The following is a 19,646-nucleotide window of genomic DNA, read 5'->3' on the forward strand; positions in this document are numbered from 1 at the left end:
AGTGAAAAGCTGGATCTTTGACTCCATTGATCCTTTCAGACAATGCAAAGAAACAACATAGGGAAAGGAGTTGAGTGATTTATTGAGTGCTTACTTGGTGCCACGGCATGTGCTAGGTGCTTACCTAAATCAACTCATTGGATCCTCACAACAACCCTGTGAGGTGGGTTTCATAACCCCCACTGTTTACCGATGAGGCTCACAGAGGCTATGTAACTTGCCCAAGATTCTGCAGCTGGTAAAGGACGGAATCTGTGCCTCTGCACTACCAATGCCTGCTCCTGAAGGAAGGTTTGTGAGGGTGAATTTCTCAAAGTCACTTCAGGTCCTTACTGTAGCGACAGTGTTGGCACCTTCTGTGTCCTCTCTCACCTTGCCTGTGAGCCTTCCAGTGGGTGGGAAAAGAGGCATGCCTATCAGTGGCCATTCTGTGAACACAGAAGAGAGCTGCGCTGGCCACAGAGAAGATAGTCCAATGATCCTTAAAGTTCAGGCGTGTGGGTTGGAGCCAAAGGGGCCTGTCCCCTGGATATAACTTGAGAGTAGCTCTGGAGAGGAATTCTAGAAGCTGTGGAAAGAAAAAGAGGGAGGATTTTAGCACTATGTCTCTGGACAGTTTGTCTAACTTCAAAGGGTTCTTTTCAGTTTTTTTCTTTCCTTTACCAATTCCCAATGTTTTAACTGTACTCACTGCCTGACATGATAGGGGCAGGTGTACCTTCGAATCATTTCATACTAGAATATTAGGGCAAGTCAGCTTTGAAGGTATCTAGCCCAATCCTCTCCTATTGTAGAGACCAAGAGATCAACTTTTGTTGCTTCCTATGAACGTTCTATAGAACTCTACTTCTTACCTAACCCTATCTAATTTAAAGAAAAAAACCAAAAGCCTGTATTGAATAATGGTAAGTTTCATAAGACTCCTGACTTTCATTTTTACAGAAAGATGGGTAGGAAAATGAGGCCTGTAAGACAGAAGTGGAAACATGACTCAGGAGCAGCCCCAGGCTGCTGTTATCCAGAGGGCAGGTGGGGAACTGCTGCCTCTAACTTACCTGACCGACAATGGAACCTGTGGCAGGTAGAGGTGGCACGACCCTCTAGAGACCCCTGCTCTGGCCGTGCCACTTTCAAGAGCAAGTTTTCCGAGCCAGGACTCTTTCCAGTAGTTCTGTGAGAAAAGCACTGTTTGCTAGCACTGACAGCTACCAAAAACCTTACAGCTGCTTCTGAGGGGAAGAGCATGATGACAGTGTGACTCTAATCTGCCTCCTCCCAAACAGATGAAGGAGAGCAGGCTGACATGTGACTTAGCTATTCAGGGGCTAAAGAGCTAGCACATGTTTTCTTTAGGCCTCCACTTTTTGCTGTACCTTTTGTTGTCAGGGGATTCTGCCAGCTGCCACCTTCCCTGAAAAGCCAAACTGGTGGAAATAAGAGGGAAAATCATCTATCTCTGATAAAAGAAAGAGAAAGAAAGAGAGAGAGACTGCTAAACAATTGTACATACAACAGAATCTTAAAATACGCTACACATTTAACTAGTGCTTCAGAGCTTAAAAACTGCCTTTATGTATTTTATCACAATCACGCCTCACAGCAACCCGGTAAGGTAGACAGAGCCATCTTGGTCCTGTCCTGCAGATGAGGAACATGTTCTTGATGGCAGGTGAGTGGCAAGACTAGAGTCCAGATCTTAGAAACACAGAATCCTAGAGTTAGAAGTTACCCTGACACAATAATCCAAGGCATCCTTTTCCCAGAGCATGAATCACCTTATAAAATCCCTGAGATTTCTTATGGCCCCTGCTTGAACTCTTCCAGTGATGAGTAACTCTCACCACCCATGAGCAATCCAGTATCAATACTGAGCTAAAATCCTTCTTATAACTTTCAGCCTATTCAATTCAATTTCTGCCCACAAGAACTACACCAAATTAAGTCAAATTCTAATTTACATTCTTTCTAAAATTTGAAGATATTACACTTGCCCTTTTCTTGCAGATAAAACATTTTCAGTTCTTTCAACTACTTATCATGTGATTACCTAGAACCATGCCTAAAATATATAGTAAATAGTGTTTATTGAATCGTTTCTCTTGCCCTTGGTACTATGTCCTGATCCTCCTGTCGAGGGGCTCCTTCCCTTACCTCGAGTGTCCTCAATTTTGTAATCTGTTCATCATTTGCTTATTTAAATAATAGGGAGAAAAGAAACAGTATAGTTTTCAGAACAATGTGAAACAAAATAAAAATTGTCCAAATGTCAGACAGCTTTCAATTTATTTTGTGATAATGGATTCATTATTTCACTCAACAGACTACCTCGGAGCTGCATTTCTAGAAGATAAGTCCCTCATTCATTGAGCATCTCCTGTAATAAGACACAGAATGGATCCCTGTGGAGAGTGGCCATCGAATTAAACAGAAAAATTCTAGTGAAGGGAGGGATGATTTGGGGTCTGGCTGGAAGACCCTGCATGAATACATTATCCTGCAGCATAGTTTTGCCTATTAAGAGAAGCAGCACCCATTTTTTGTTCAATTTTGGGTACCACCAGACTAAAAAACATATGTCTCTTCAAAAAGGAGCTCCAGAGGAAACTCTGACTATTTTCAGTTGGTCTTAATTTGGATTGGTGTGAGAGACAAGCACTGGTGTCAATGTGATGAGGCTGTGTCATTCCTAATGATGCAGAATTCAGCCAGCTTCATGCCTCTCATATAAGTGCTGTGCCGGGATGAATAGCAATGAGCTTAACATTTTGATAACTAAAGAGCCAGGAAATAGATGGTGAATGGTGCCCTACTTTATGAAAGAAATAATAGTAAATTGCTCCCAATTAAGGGAATATGCTTATTCATTAGAGTAATAACCTTATAGCAAGTTTGATGGTAAATAAGTCAAATCAAACATTCAAAACACAATTTCAGAAAAAGAACTGAGGCTAAATTATCCCATGATCACAGACTACATTGAAAACTATCAGAAGTTTGGCTAATTTGATCATGTTTTCAAGTTGTTCTGAAAACCTCTATGGCCTGAAAAGTAAACGACATAAGTTTCCTTTCTCTCTATTGCTTAAACAAAGAAACATGAAAAACTATTCTCCCTATATTGCAAATTCCGGTATTTTAGAAAGTGAGCCTCATCAGCAGTTTTCTCATCTTGAGTTTTAGAAAAGGCTGAATTTGGAAAGAGGCATTTCATACGATAGTATGTATTAAGGGTTGAGGGCTTGGGGACTGAGTTGTGATCTCCTCTCTCATAAAATATCCGCACTGTAGGCCGGGCGCAGTGGCTCACGCCCGTAATCCCAGCACTTTGGGAGCCCGAGGCGGGCGGATCACCACGTCAGGAGATGGAGACCATCCTGGCTAACACGGTGAAACCCTGTCTCTACTAAAAATAGAAAAAATTAGCCAGGCACGGTGGCGGGCGCCTATAGTCCCAGCTACTCGGGAGGCTGAGGCAGGAGAATGGCGGTGAACCCGGGAGGCGGAGCTTGCAGTGAGCCGAGATCGCGCCACTGCGCTGCAGCCTGGGTGACAAAGCGAGACTCCGTCTCAAACAAAAAAAAAAAAAAAAAGAAAGAAAAAGAAAAGGAAAAGGAAAAAAAAATCTGCACTGTAATCACATGGTAGGTGATAGATTCTTCACAGGCATAGAATGGAGGGAACTGCTAGTTAAACAAGACCCACCACCACAAGGGCTGAGGAGAGTCCCAAGGTGCCAGAGAAATTGTAGTGAAATATCACAGAGAGTTCTTGCTGAAAGACACTCAGATGTCCTGGGGCTTGTGTCTACTGTACTGCGGACTGACTACTCCTCTTTTCTTCCTTTGAAAAACTTATCCTTGCCTTCTCAGATCAATCCAAGGGGGTTCCTGGGGACAGCTGGTCCAACACGCTCAAATGAAGAAAGTAAGGTTTAGTGAGGTATGGTTTGCAAAAAGTCACATATTTGATTAGTAGCAAAGCCAGACATAGAAGCCAGGACTTTGGACTCCCAGTCCTGGCCTCTTTCTCATTTACCATGCTGCCTGCCTCCTGATGTTTGGAAAACATTCCTAAAGCTGGGGATTTTACACCTTCACTTGAATGGTTTTCTTTATAGGCAGAGGGAAAAGTACTGATCTTTGGAAGAGTTAGGATTAAAAACTAATAAGATGGGGGTACAGGGTGTTTAGGAGGAAGAATAGATACAGCAAGGCAAAAAAGGTGGGAAAAAGAAAAAAGGAGGTAATAGGAGAGATAAATATATGAACAATAAAATGGAAGAAAACAAGAGACAAGTGAAGAGGGAGAAATGAACTGAGAAGACATAGAAAATGGACACTTAAGAGCAGCAAACTGGCCAGGCATGGTGGCTCATGCCTGTAATCCTAACACTTCGGGAGACCAAGGCAGGAGGATTATTTGAGCCCAGGAGTTCGAGAACAACCTGGGCAACATGGGGAGAGTTTGTCTCTACAAAAAAATTTAAAAATTAAACATTATCCAGGCACAGCGACATGTGCCTGTAATCCCTGTTACTTGGGAGGCTGGGATGGGAGGATCGCTTGAGCTTTTGGAGGTAGAGATTGCAGTGAGCCGACATCATGCCACTGCACTCCATCCTGAGTGACAGAGTGAGACCCTGTCTCAAGAAAGAAAAGGAAAAAAGAACAGAACATCAAACTGAGGCAATCAAGGACTGAGAAGAAATTGGAGAAGAAAGAAGAGAAAAATAGAACCAAGAAAAGAGAAGAAAACCAGGAAGAACAACATGAGAAAACAGAGAGCTGCTGTGAGTCGAAGAGAGAGTGTATAGGTGGATGGGCAAGTTGGACCAAGAGGGATCCATAGGACATAAGGAGCATGCGTGGATGCAGGATGAACGAGTAGGAAGGCGAACAGCTGCACAGAGGGAAAGGAGTGATCAGAGTTGTCAATGCACACTTCGGGGAACTCAACAAAGTGATCTGGGGTGTTAGATTGATCCTTGGAATTACCTCAGAATGAGCTGAACTATGGTTCTAAGGATGCTGGTAACACAGGAGATTGTAAATTCCATATCTACAAAACTAAATCTCTAACCTTTCATCAGTCATCTCTATGGCCTCTTTCATCATTTATATAACCTGTTTTTCAAAATAGACAAACATTCACTCATTCATTTCATGTACTCTGGAGGCCTTCCTCACTGGGCTAGTTTCTCAGGTAATTTATTGGTGCTTTCTGAAGAACCATGGGAGGCGCCTTCCAAATTGGGAACAATGGGATTTTCCTCAGGAAATTCAGGCCTACATCATGGTTGGGTGGAGTTACAGAGAAAAACATCACAGTATTATGAGGGCAGCCAGGGAAACATGAGAGCAATTTCCCAGAACCACTGGGCACAGCCTTTCTTGTAGACTCTCTGGGAGGGAAATTCTGTGAGGGAAATCCTGCACGCACTGTTAGGCCCTCCAGGATTTATGCACATCCTACCTCCCACAGGTGTGGGTGACTGGGGAAAGCCAGGCTGCCATATACCTATCTGATCATAGTAACATTTAATCATAGCAGTATCTAGTCCTCTGTCTGTGTGATCAACAAACACATTCTCCACTGGGTGAGAGGAAAGCAAGATGAGGACATTTTCCTCCCCGAGCTATTAGCTCATAATCACAATCCTCTTTAAAATATGCAGTTTTAACAGAGATGCCTGCCCAGTCTAGGCTAAATAACAACTGCTTTCCAGGACGGGCTCTGTATCAGGAAAGACAAGCAATCAGAATTAGAACCCTGCCACATTCTTTTTCTTTTAAAATGCATGCCACAAATAAAAGCCCCTTAAGCCCCAGCTGTGGCCTCAGCTATTAGAATAAACTTGCAAAAAAACAGCAATCTACCTTCCTGCTCAACGTATCAACCAGCCCACTTTCTAAAATGCAATCAAGTTAATAACGAATGAGTTTTTAAAATCCCTTCATGCCTTGCATGCACCCGGAGTGAGTTGCTATCTTCAAAGTTGGGTTAATGCCACTTTCTGTGAGTCCTCTAAGAGGAAATGTTCCACGAATGATTTTTTTTGCCCTAACAAGCTGAGTTAAGGCCAGCCATTGACAGGAATGTGCAGCGGCTGCCTTCTGAGTACTTACATAGGATCCTGAGCCGGTGGCTGTGCCCATGTTAGTTCTCCCTTCACCTCATGTACTCCCCATCACTCCTATAATCCATAAACGATTCTGATCCTGACACCTCCTCAAAATCCTCCAGCACCAGACTGGTGGAGTCCTCACCCAGTATGCCACTGTCTGGCCTGGACAACCTGGCCCGGGTAGGAGGTGCAGGAAAGTTGGTGGTAGCTGGAGGGGTAGAACAAGGGGGTGTTTGCTGGAGAGAGGTGGGTGTGGCCTGAGGAGGGGACACAGCTGGCTCACAGACTTCCTCATCACCCTTCTCGGACTCTGGTCCAGCATCTGCAGCAGTGGGACCCAGGACATGGTAGAGGCTGGGAAGGCGGATGTCAAAGCGCAGCCCAAACTTAGCAAAGAGCTTGTCATTGAGAGTGTAGAGCTTCTCTGAGATGTCATATCCCAGCAGAGCCGAGAAGAGGCAGGAGATGTATCGCTCTTTGGTCAGAAGAAGATGGAGACTTTTCCGGGGCCAGGAAATGTAGCTACATGAGGTCTCAGCAGTCAGAGTGACCTGAGAGGGGTCAGAAGCAGACAATAAAAGTTTAAACTAGAAAATTTGTCCATGCTGAGCACAGAGATCATTCAGTCACTTGGCAAACAGCTGTACTTTTACTGAAGAAGCTGTGTGGGAGTACCCCTCTATGGCCTTGCCTGGAGGAGGTCTAGTGGATGACTTTCACTTGTGTGCACTGATATGGGGGGGTCCTGTGTCAGGAGCCCTGGGATCAGCCATTCACTCACTCACCCATCACCTCCTGAAGCCTCAGTTTCCACATCCACTTTCCTCAACTGTAATTCTGTGGTTCCGTGGCTAATGCCACTAATGACTGCAGAAAGTTCTGAGTCTTATGATTTTAAGATAGAGAAAGAAGGGGCCTTCTTGTGCTCTGAAGAGTGGTTGAAATGCTGACAACTATTCATTTTAAGAATGAGGAAGGGTAAGATATTGGGGTAGGGACATAAAAAGAGTTGGAAAGTTGAGTTTGAGAAAAAGCTTCTGATGAGGTATGCCAAGCTACATCAGGATCCCAAGCCTGGGATTCAGGTTGGGATACGAGCAAGTTACGAAATTGCTCGTAACTTGGCCATTTCAAGTAACCAAAAGGATCTGATGACTGAAATCAGAAAAAGGGCATAGCGGAAGACAAACTCTAAAGGGTAGAAAATCAAAGGGCACCCCATTCTCCATTTGTTTATTCATCTAGGAATTTCTGAGTACTCACTATGTGCCCATGATGCAAAGCTAAATTACGCTTGCATGGGAAATAAGCAATAACGTGTGCCTAGCATGCAGCAGGTGTTTGATAAATCCTTGTTAAAATAATGATAAGTGGTAAAGCTGGGGTTAAAATGGAAACATGCTTAGGACAGTGCAGGAAAAGGGTGCAGAATCACACAATTTTTAATAATCTAATTGACCCTAATACTTTGGGCTGGCAGAGTTCATGATATATTTTTGTGGATGGAGACAGTGGAAATGATGATGATAATGATGTTAGCAGCTAATATTTGTCAAGAGGTGCCAGGCGTTGTGTTAAGCACTTTATATGAATTGTCAAATTTAAAGTAGGGTAGCTTTCCAAACATTCTTTATTAGAGATTATATATAATCCTTTTCATTCCTGTATTGCCTACTGGATCTCCCATTACCCTCCTCTTCTCTTCTTTCCTTTCTGCTATACCCCTCCCCCACGTCCTTTATTCATTTCCTCCTCTCAACTTTTCTCCACTAATTGCTAGCACTGCAATCAGGACCTAAACTACGTTATCGAGGCCAGAAGTGGTTTCATGTTTCAGCTTTACCTCTATCAGTTGTATGATGTCAGATAAATTACTTAATCTCTCTTGCCTCATGAGAAAGAATTCTGAAAATAATACAATCTGTCCATTACTAATAGTTCAGCAAGTAGTTGTCACATCTGCCATGGCCTGTACCTTAGATGTACTTATGAACAATTCCCAAACAAGAAATCAGAGTACCAAATATGAAGCACATGTGTTTGAGCAAGAACTACGCCGAATGTAAATAATGTCTTAAAGCCAAACACAAAGACTGTGAACCTTCTTAGAAATATGCTGTACTTCTTCCATCTTAAAATAAAACAAAATTTTACAAATAAAAATTCTTTTTCTCGAATTCACTTCCCTGGCTAGCTATCACTCCACTAATTTGCTTCCCTTTTTAGCAAAACTCATGAAGAAAAAAAAACCTGTTTATACTTAACTGTCTCCAATTCCTCTCTTCTCACTCTCTTAAACCAATAAGACTTTGTCCCTAGCAGTCCACAAAGACTGTTCCTGTTAAGGTCACCAATGACCTCTAAGCTGCTGAGTCTGATGGTCAGTTTTCATGGCATCCATCAATTTCCCCTTCCTCTTTGATATATCTTCTTCACTTGGTTCCCAGGATGCCATACACTCCTTGCCCAATCTCATGATTGTTCCTTTTCAAGCTCCTTTGCTGCTTCCTCCTTTCCTCTCCAACTCCTCACCACTAAAGTATCCCAGGGCTCCGCTCTTGAACCATTCCCTCTTCCATCCACACTCACTCACTTGGTGAGCTCATCCTATCCAATGGCTTTAAATATCATCTGCATACAACCAACTCCCAAATTTATGTCTCAGGCCCAGATCTCATTCCTGAATTTCAGACTTAAATATCCAGTTGCCTATGCAGCATCTCCATTCAAATGTCCACAGATGATGCAAACCTAACATCAAACACTGAACTTCCTAGTCCCCCGAAAGCAGCTCTACCTGCAGCTTTCTTTGTCTCAGTTGACAGCAGCACCACCTGTCCAGTTGCTCAGGCCAAAAGCCTTAGAGTCTTCCTTGATCTTCTCTTTCTCTCACATACTATATCCAACCCTTTAGAAAATCCTTTTGGCTGTATCTAGACAATATATGCTATGGCCCTACATGATCTTGCTACCTCGTCACCTCTCCAACTTTCTCTCCTGCTATTCCCTCCCCTTCCTCTCTCCATTCCAGGTCCACTGTCCTCCTTTCTGTGCATCAAACACACTGGCCCCACCTCAGGGCCTTTGCACTGGCTCTTTCCTCTGTCTGATATGCTTTTCCCAGATATTCACAGACCTCACCTGTCATCTCTCTCAGGTTTTTGCTCAAATGTTATCTGCTTAACAAGGATTTCCATGACCACCCTATTTAAAATTGCCACCATTTCTCCCTTGCACTACTCTAGGTTTTTTTTTTTAAACTAGCAGTGATTATCCTCTAACAAATTATATAATTTACTTATTCATTATGCCTATGGCTTTTTGTCTCCCCCATTAGAATGTAAATTGCATGAGGGGAGGGACCTTCATCTGTTCTGTTCACTGATATATTTCAAATCCTTTTAACAGTGCCTGGTATATACTAAGTTTTCAATAAATATTATTGAAGTGAATAAATGAATCAAGGGAAGACAGCCAATCTTGTATATTGCAAAACAACCTAATGTCACTTTCTTCCCCCACCCCACCGCCCCCCTGAGACGAAGTCTTGCTCTGTCACCCAGGCTGGAGTACAGCGGTGTGATCTCAGCTCACTGCAATGTCCACCTCCCGGGTTCAAGCAATTATCCTTCCTCAGCCTCCCGAGTAGCTGGGATTATAGGCACCTGCCACCACCCTGGCTAATTTTTGTATTTTCTAATAGAGATGGGGTTTCACCATGTTGGCCAGGCTGGTCTCAAACTCCTGACCTCATAATCCAACTGCCTCGGCCTCCCAAAGTGCTGGGGTTATAGGTGTGAGCCACCGCGCCCAGCCTCTAATGTTGCTTTCTCATGTCCTGTATAAAATCCTTCCCCAAAGGTCCTCCTGAAATCTGCTTCTTGATTGGTTCTCCCATATATATAGACATATCTGTTGTAACGTTTTGACAAGTATTTAGCTTTTTTTTTAATACTCATCTCAGATGTTGGTTGAATGAATTAAATGAGATAACCTATGTAAATAGGACTTAGGTCCAGTAAGATAGGATGCAAATTAGAAAAACAGTGATGATTTCTGTGTGATCCCTCCTGTGCTGTGTTCTTGGTGACTAATGAGTGTCACAGTGCCGAACACACAATGAATTCTGACTTAATTGAATTGTCGAGAGGTGTGCTGGAATGCTGATTGATTTATATTAGGTACAATGTGAATTATAATTTAGGCTGTCACTGTGGATTGCTCTCAGTCAACAAAGACTATGTAATTGCAAAAGGCAAGGACAGGATGAACTCTAACTTAAGATAACACTTGACATTTGCAAAGAGGAAATGGGACTTTACACAGCCAATAGCAAATGTGTGGCTCTCATTACTCCCAAAGGAGGTACACGCTAAAAATATAAATGGGAGGAACATGACCATACCTACATTCCAGGCTGAGAGGCCATGTGAGGTTACAGCCCTTCCTCTTGAGCGTAACTTAGGGGAGGACACCCGGCTTACCCACCACCTGTTCCTCCGTGTCAGTGTCAGAAAGAGGCCTGGTCCAGCTGGCTCAGGTCCTGACTGAGCCCTCCTGGAGGTTCTCATGTGCCTGAGAGAGTTCCTGAAGAAGGTTTCTGGACTAGTTAGGGAGGGTGTGTGGACGGAGGTCAGGGTAGGAACATGATGGAAGTGGATCTGTGGCTGGTGACCCTGGCAGTGGGATCAGGACTGCCTCTCAGGCTCCATCATCACAGAGCCAAGTGTCAGGGTGGGGGCAGAAGCAGGCCCTGCCAGGTAGCACTGCCCGGTGTGTGTCTGTTCCGGGGTTGGCTCATATGTTGGCTTGAGGGACTCCCTGATAAAAGTAGTAGGAGACACATGGAATCCAGTGTTTCCAGGTCCAGCAAACTATCCAGGCAGGGGAGTCCTTAAAAGGGTGAGTGAGTGTGTGTGCGCGTGTGTGCATGCGTGTGCATGTGTGTGTGTGTATGTGTGTGTGTAAACTCTACTCTTCTGGTGACCTTCCCATTTTAATAAAGAACAGAAATGGTAGATCCAGGCAACTTGGCTTTGTCACTTTCTAGCTGAAGACCCTGGGCAAATTACTTGATGTTTTTGGGCCTTAGTTTCCTCAGTTGTTAAATGGAGTAATAATCATATTCAACCCATAGAGTTGTTATGAGAATCAATGAGGCAATATGATACGTAGTGCCTGCCACATGCTAGCCATTCAATAAGTGAGAGCTACAAAGAAAGTGACCAAAGCCTGAGGGATTGGCAGAGATAAGAAGAGTAGGGGCCAGGCAGCCAGGAACCTGCATTGGAGCATGTATGTGAATGCCCCATGGAGTCCTCTGGGACACCAGCTGCCCAGTGGCAAACCAGTTCAGCAATTCTTTTTTTTTTTTTTTTGAGACGGAGTCTCACTCTGTCGCCCAGGCTGGAGTGCAGTGGCGCAATCTCGGCTCACTGCAAGCTCCGCCTCCCGGGTTCACGCCATTCTCCTGCCTCAGCCTCCCAAGTAGTTGGGACTACAGGTGCCCGCCACCATGCCCGGCTAATTTTTTGTATTTTTAGTAGAGACGGGATTTCATCGTGTTAGCCAGGATGGTCTCGATCTCCTGACCTCAGGATCCACCCACCTCAGCCTCCCAAAGTGCTGGGATTACAGGCGTGAGCCACCGCGCCCGGCAAGCAATTCTTTACTGAACAGCTGCTGTGCTCCAGGTACTTTCCTTTAGAGTCTGGGAACAGAGAGGGAAAAGCCTAGATTTGTACTTCAGAGTTCACTGTGCAGAAGACAGAAAGGAGACCAGATTATTAGAACAGACAGCAAGATGTGCACCAGTTAGCATAAGTAAAAGGACTAGAACAGGCACACAGGAGTGCTAGGCTGTGGGGTGGAAGCTGGTGAGGCTGTGGGGTGGAAGCAGGCTTCACAGTGGAAGTGAGGTTCCGTGGTCTCATCTAGAAGGGGAAATGCATTTCAGAGGGGAGAGTAGGGGCCAAGGCATAGAGCTGCAAAACAATGTGGTGTGTTTAGGGAAGTACTAGTGGTTCAGCATGGCTAGTATGAGCAAAAAATATGAAGGAGGGAGAGCTGGAAATGCGACTAGAGAGCACTAAAAGGTTTAAGTTACCCTATAACAAGTGTGGGTTTTTATGTTGTGGCACTAGGGTCTTCCAGAAGAGTTTAAGCATACAAGTAACATGGTCTACCCAGGGGCCAGCATCTTCCTACCCTACCTCACCTATGGCTAGGAGCCCAGGAACTCTTTTCAGAGGAAGAGTGCCCCCGCCTGTAGCTTCACACTGGCAGGGGTGCGAAGGACAGATGTAAGAGGGGAAACATGGAGGCACGGATATTGCTGGGCTACAGTGGGATGGGGTGAGGCGGTGCTGCCACCAGGCTCCCTGTTACCTGGAACACCCCCTCCTCAGAAGGCTGTAGTGATTCCCACTCAGGAGAGTCCATGAACTGGTATGGAAAGATGTAGTGCAGAAACTGCCCATCCTGGCTCACACGAACCCTGGCAAGGGAAGAGAAGAGATCATGTGGGAAAAGGAAAATGGCTCTCCAAGCCACCTATGCTGAAGTTAGGTGTCGCTGATTAACATGAATCTTCCTGTAGAAATACTTTGCCTAAAGCATGGTAAAACCCAAAGCTAGACTAGCCAGCCTAATTACTGCATGCAAGTAGTTCAGAAAAGGAACCCATTGAGACTTCCAGAACCCTCATTTTTCCTCCTCCTTCTCCTTACTGGTGGTTCTCAATTTCAGGCTGCAGAGTAGAAGTCCCAGGGAAGCTTTTAAAAAAAAGCACCTAGGCTTGGGCCTTATCCCAGAGCAATTAAACAAGAATCTCTCTAGGTAGGAACTGGATATTATTAGTATTTACATCTCCCCAGTGATTCTAATGTGTAGCCAAGATAGAAACTACTGCTTAAGAACTCTGCTGCTGGCCCGGCGCAGTGGCTCACACCTGTAATCCCAGCACTTTGGGAGGCTGAGGCAGGTGGATCACCTAAGGTCAGGAGTTCGAGACCAGCCTGGCCAAGAGAGTGAAACCCCCATCTCTACTAAAAATACAAAAATTAGCCAGGTATGGTGGCGGGTGCCTGTAATCCCAGCTACTTGGGAGGCTGAGGCAAGAGAATCACTTGAACTCGGGGGTGGAGGTTGCAGTGAGCCGAGATCACACCACTGCACTCCAGCCTGGGCAAAAGAGCAAGATTCTGTCTCAAAAAAAGAGAAAAGAATGCTGCTGCCTATTTAAGTTTACATTTACATTAATTAAAATTAAATAAAATTAAAAATTCAGTTCCTTACCTAATTACAATATGGGTGTTCAATAGCCACATATGGCCTGTGACTACCATGTTGTACAACATAGATCTAGAACGTTTCTGTCATCACAGAAAGTTCTGTTGGATCCGCTGCTCCACAGATTCTCCTTTCTCCCTTCCCATTAGCTACATGAAGATTCATGCTTACATTTAACCACTTTGTAGACTTTGAAGGAAGTGGCAAGTCTACCATATGCCAGACTCTGCTAGACACTTTACCAGTGTTCTCTTATATAATGTTCACAACACCACAAGGTAGATTATTCTTTTCTGTATTTTATAGCTAAGGAAACTGGTGCTCAGAAGGGTTGAGTGGCGAGCTTAAGGCTACATAGCGATCAAGTGGCGGAACTAAAATTCTATGTTCTTAGCACAACACCATGTTGCCACCCTATTACTACAGCTTTGGGTAGATGGTAGTGGACTCTCCTAGCATGACCCTTTCCCGGACCTCTCTAACCGTAGGTGACAATAACAGCTTGTTTCTTTAGACAATGAGATCCCATGCACCCTATCCAGCTGATGGTCCTAGAGTGAACACCTGACTCAAGCTGAGCCAATCAAACTCCTTCCCTGGGAATTTGGAAATGGAATTGCGTGTAAATCATGCCTTGGATGGGGACAATTATCAGGCATTATTAACAAAACTAACACACTCCTCCCTGAAGGAACTAAAAAAAATTTTTTTTTATCACGTAACTCAGACTTTGAAAAGCATGGGTCCCAATTGGCTATAGAGAAAATAAACTTGAAATCACATAAAATGTCCTAGTAGGACATGTTCTTGTTTCTAGCACTACCTGAGGCTTAGGTGCATGTCTTTCCTTGAGTTTCATAAGAAATCCTTGTATTTTTTTAAATAAAGACCTTTTTTCCCCCTTCTGTTGGCTAGAGTGGGTTACTGTGGCTGCAGCCAGAAATCCGAATTATTTGCTTTAATTTTATGAATATTCTTAAGTCTTAAGTCTTAAGTCATTAACTGCTCTTGACTTGCCCATGACCACAGGCTTGGTTTCACAACTTAAGGGGTTAGGAGCCTTACTATTGCTGCTTGGTGCCTTTGTACCCTTGTGGCTGTACCTAGCCTAGTGCTCTGCCCCTGCAGGGTAAAAAGACTGCATTCCATGAGAACTTGTTAGAACTGATGGCATGTCATTGATGATGCCTGAGGACAGGGAGTGTATTTCAGATGTGAGGCCACATCTGGAAGAAGATTAGAATCCAGTATGGGCTTTATCCTTCCCCCAACCCGACCCCTGCCCAGAAAACTCAGAGTTTCATCTTTAACCTCTCTTCTAAAGTGAGTTATATCAGGCAATAGGGGTGCCTCTATTAGGCAAAGGGGGAAGATGAAAAAGATCTCTAAGGTACACCTTGTTCATTTGGGGGAGATATCCTTCCATTATTTCTGGAGGTTTATTGGCTAAACAAATATTTCTGGAGCATCTCTCATGTTTCTGGAGATCTGGGAATGCAGAGATGGGCACAATCTGGTCTTTGTCTTTGAGGATTTCACAATTTAGTGGAAGTCACAGGCACATAAATAACTGGCTGCAAGTCAATGTGATAGGTGCTATTGTGGAACAGTAACAGAGGAGAGAGAAAGATTGGTTCTCTTTGGGCAGCAGACCTCTCGAAGGAGATGACATTTGAGCTGAATTTTGAGGGATGCAAAGGGTATTGAGAAGCAGATAAAGATGAGAATGAACAAAGACCTGGGAAATCCAGTGTGGCAGTCTGTTCTCCAGTATCTGCTTTCTTCTCTTCCTTAATGGTGCTAGATTTTAACTGGACACATGACTGCAGAGAAAAAAATCAACATTTCTCTACTTCCCTGGCTGCTAGGCATAGGCAAGTGATAAGTCCTGGCCAATGGGATATCAGCACTCCTGAGCCTTGCTCTTAATGAATGCCTAGGTATACATGCGTGTATACAAATTACCAAAGACCAGCACCAATTAAAAAAACAATTGCACCTATTATCTGACAACCTAAAGCTGGAAGACAGGAGCTTTATTCAAGACTCTGAATAAATATGTATGGAAGGGGGAAAAGAAGGAAAGAAGGAAGCAAGAAAGTAAGGATGAATAAATGAACAAAGGAAACCAAGGAACAAACTCACTTGTGTCACCATAAAAGGGGATCAAAACCTCACTGAAAAGCTTCCATAGCAAAGGAAGACAGCAGAAGAGAATGGCGCTGCTGCAGCATATGTCAGCTCCTTAGGCGAGGATTTCGGCCACCCAGGCAAGCCACCAAAGAGTGACAACCGTAGAGTGTAGATAATGTCTAATGATCTTCGTGGCTCGCTGAAGCCATTTAAATCGGAATGCTGTGCCCTTTATCATCTGTTTCTTCTTCCTTCTTGATCTACTGGAAGATGGATGATCTTCTCCTAAATGAATAGCTTAGATAGTTAGTTGCCTGCTCAGGGGGTTGTATATATGGAAGTTTGTGTTTTGAATTTTATATGAGAGAAACGTCTAAGTTAAGCGCTGCTTAACAGGGTGATAGACTTTGAGAAAGTCACTTTCCCTCTCTGAGTTTTGAAAGAGATTGGTTTCCTTTATTAAAACAAAACAAAAAGACTTCTGAGGTTTGAGTGAAGGACTCTAGAGAACAGTGTGCATGTGAGATGTGGAAGTCTGCACAAGAGTCCCCACTTCCTGGCACAAAGTTCTTGTCTGCTGCTTTGAGATGTTTGGTCCCTTACTGTAACCAGCCCAAGGTTCAGTGATTCTCCTTTAAAACTAGAGCCCAGTCATAGACTAGAAGCCTTTTCCTCTATGTCCAGCTCAGCAAAGCTGAGACAGGGTGACACTGAAAGATAACAAAACTCTTACTCCAAACCTTGAAAGGCAGGAAAAAAAAAAATCAAAATTGTCTAATTTCTGACTCAGCCTTTTGATGCTAAGTATACCAGGAAAAGCTACACCAAGGGCAAGCCCCCCTCTCCCCTTCACTGGGAAGTGATCTTATACAAGTTCACAGTAAATCTATCCTAACTGAACTATACAGTAACCATACATGCTTCCAGCAAATGGGCACCCTACACTGGAGGGAGCACTTCTGCTGCTCTCAATTTCCTCCTTTGAACAGACGAGCTATAACATCATGGGTCTCATGAATGAGCAAGTTCCCTAAATTGTCTTTAAGCATGGAACTATAGGTGCAAACATTTTCACAATAGTTATATGTATTTGTATTTACATCTATATCTGTTTACAAATAATCGCATTGGTTTACACTTTCAGTTCACCAATAAATGAAATGAAATGTACCCTCACAAAATGTCTCCCCTCCTAGCTCACTCTATCCAGGACCTCTGAGTTCAAACAAAATCAAAACATATATACATGATACTTCAGGTTCTATAAATGAATACACAAACACGTATTATTACTATTAGTGGTAGTTGTAGTACCATTAGCATCATTGTCAAACTTTTTTCTCCATTGTGTGGTTGGCAGTATTATCTGGATTTGCTTTTTTTTTTTTTTTTTCTTGGAATTGGAGCCTTCTAATTGCCATCTTACCTTTTCTATCACATTCTCCTGGTCTCAAGAAAGCTGGTGGAGTGGGGGTTGTGGGGCTCAAGAGCCACTAGGGCAGTATAAAAAAATCCACAATTGCCTACTAAGTGTGTAGCACAGAGCCCCGTGATGTTTTCTCAGAAGAAATCAATGCCCAACATTCACATCCAGGTTGACTGGGCATACACTGATCCTGACTAAGACCATTTCTGCCCATATCTGACTGTCAGCCTTCTCCAAAAGAGGCGGTGCTTCCACAAAAGCCTTGATGAGATAGGTGTATCACTTCTCTTCTCCCATTGTTGGGCCCTCAGATTTACAGTACTGTACTTGACTTCTTAGTCTTCAAGAACCTCAATAGAACAACTGGAAATGGAAAGGTGGGCAAGGGGTATTCACTCTCCCTACCTGGCTACATACAGCTACCCCAAACACAAGTGGGGCTGTTTGCTTGATGCCTTGGCAGGGAACAGGGGTTATGAGAACCACCCCGCTATCCCGACCTCCCATTTCTGGCATTGTTCCCTGAATACAGTTGGTGCTTAGCAAATGTTGAATTTGAGTAAGGAACAGATTAACCTTATTGAAATGTTAGTTTTTCAAAGCTTACAGAGATATTGCTGCAGCTTAGGCATGACACACTGATATGTGTGTGGTGATGGTAGAGGGGTTATTTAAGGCCCAGGCTCAAGACACACGCACTGCACACCTTCCAGCAGCAAGTGCACATACAATCATTCTTGCCAACCAAGATGCCTCATGAACTGGTTTCTTCTTGGAAAATGCCAAGAAAGAGGAAGCAACCCCACTCTTAGAAAAATCTATTTTGGTTTGTTTGACTTGTCACATCCTTCCCTCAATGGAAGGGGACACGAAATGGAAAGGGACATGAAATGGAAAGGGACACACTAGGAAATGAGAAGTGTGGGCTGGGGAAAGAAATTCTGGGCAATGGATAGAGTAGCTTACCGGCCAGAGAGCAGCAGGGACAGGCGGTTGATGGGTGTCTCACCCTCCACAGCATAGGTCTGTTCAGTGGCCAGAGTTAAGACCTGCTCCTCGCAGCAGTGAACAATCTCCTTGTATGTCTGTAGGGGCACCTGCAAGGGCAGGCACAGCGTCTTGTAGAGGAGGTCAAACTCCTCAGGGAGGGTGTCCTCACGCAGGCGGTATACCAGGTGTGCCAGCTGGAGCAGGCAGACCACAGCCAGCAGGAAGCTCCAAAGAACAATGTCCAGGCCACAGGCACTGAACCAGCCCCACAGCACGCAGCACAGGTAACCTGCACTCAGGAAGCCAAAAAGATAGAAGCATCCATACACCCCACTGCCCCCCATGAAGCCCAGGAGTAAGAGGCAGTTGGCTAGGTGGTAGACAGCCCCTTCCACATCCTGCTTCCACCTAATGCACGCTGAACCCTGCAAGAGAAGCTGGCCCACTCTGCTGCTGTTGGCGCTCATCTTTGGGGCCTCTCAAAGCCTCACTGGGCTCTAATACTGTCCTCACATAGGAAATTCAGAAAATGAATGAATCCATCCGCTCAGGGGTCTTCTCACCTCCGGCTTCTCACTACCGACTCCACCTTTCCTAGAAGGAATGCTTCCGGTGGCTTTGGGAAGGAATGATGGAACATAGTACACTTCATGGAGAATTTAAAAACCTCTTTCTCTCTCTCTCTCTCTCTCCCCCTCTCCCCCCCTCTCTCCTCCCCACCACCCCCGCTGTCTCAGCAAGGCTCTGGCTCTCCCTGCAGAGCTCTGGCAAGCTTCCTTGGTTCCATGTTTCTTGGGAGTCTTCAAATTTGGTTCTTAGCAGAAAAACCTAAATAGTCCCAAGGGAAAGTAGCACTACAGGACTGAAAAGTCCAGCAGCGTGGGATGATGCGGCCACATCCTGCTCTCTGTTTTTCCCAAGCAGAATGAGGAGAGCCAGCATGGGAGGCACATTTGTGTTCCATTTGGAATGTGTTCTCTCTTGGCACCGGAAGAAAGGGTGACCCCAGATGGATACCATGTTTGGAATTGGAATCCAAGAGGTACTGGCAGTGAGAAAAAACAGGCCAGGCACAGGCAGCCTGGCAGAGCACTTAACATACCTCCCAGAGGACAAGATAAGACCTCAGGGTCAGAGAGACAGACAAGGAGAGAGAAAGGAAAAGTGAGCACAGAATTCACCTGAACACCTCAGGCAGGAAACTGTCCCGAGCTCCCTTTGGGGAGAGCCAGACAGTGCTTCTGAGTGAGGACACATCAGAGTAGGAAAGTATGGGACTATTATCAGAAAAAATCCTAACAGTGAAAGCTGGAAAACCCCCTGAAGGCCTTTATTAAGTCACACTGCAAATATCATTATGTATTTATTTGACATCCATTTAACAAAAGTAGCTATGTAAAGTGGCTTTTTGAATTCTAAGCTGGCTTTCCCCTGCATATATCTGGATCTGGTAATAGTAAACAAATAATAATACATTGCCCAGATCATCATCCCACCCACTCCGGTGCTTCCAAATTATAATTCCCACCTATTAAACACCCATGAAGTGCCAAACCTAGATTAGGCATTTTATACACTTATAAGTTAGTTGTGACAACAATCCTTCAAAATAAATATTATTCTCCTTCTAGATCTGGAAGAAACTGAGGCTCAGAGAGGTAACAAGCTCCCACAGATGGTCTA

General features: G+C 44.3%; 1 protein-coding gene across 5 annotated transcripts; it reads right to left on the reverse strand.

Annotated features, from left to right (window-relative positions):
- Positions 1 to 62: 62 nt before the first annotated feature.
- POPDC2 (popeye domain cAMP effector 2) lies at positions 63 to 18,890 on the reverse strand. Of its 5 annotated transcripts, none has more exons than XM_047448704.1 (5): positions 18,527 to 18,890; positions 17,940 to 18,070; positions 12,512 to 12,620; positions 6,267 to 6,675; positions 63 to 568 (listed from the first exon to the last, which is right to left on the reverse strand). In XM_047448704.1, the coding sequence occupies exons 3-5, from the start codon at positions 12,563 to 12,565 to the stop codon at positions 483 to 485; spliced, it is 549 nt and encodes a 182-aa protein (XP_047304660.1). In that variant the 5' UTR covers positions 12,566 to 12,620; positions 17,940 to 18,070; positions 18,527 to 18,890; the 3' UTR covers positions 63 to 482. The 5 variants fall into 5 exon arrangements, with proteins under 5 accessions (XP_047304660.1, NP_001295262.1, NP_071418.2 ...); NM_001308333.2 differs by adding an exon at positions 1,374 to 1,456 and having other exon boundaries at positions 17,940 to 18,596; NM_022135.4 differs by having other exon boundaries at positions 17,940 to 18,596.
- Between the last annotated feature and the right edge of the window lie 756 nt (positions 18,891 to 19,646).

The sequence above is a fragment of the Homo sapiens genome, chromosome 3 (genome assembly GCF_000001405.40).
Source record: "Homo sapiens chromosome 3, GRCh38.p14 Primary Assembly".
In the NCBI taxonomy this organism is placed as follows: Eukaryota; Metazoa; Chordata; class Mammalia; order Primates; family Hominidae; genus Homo; species Homo sapiens.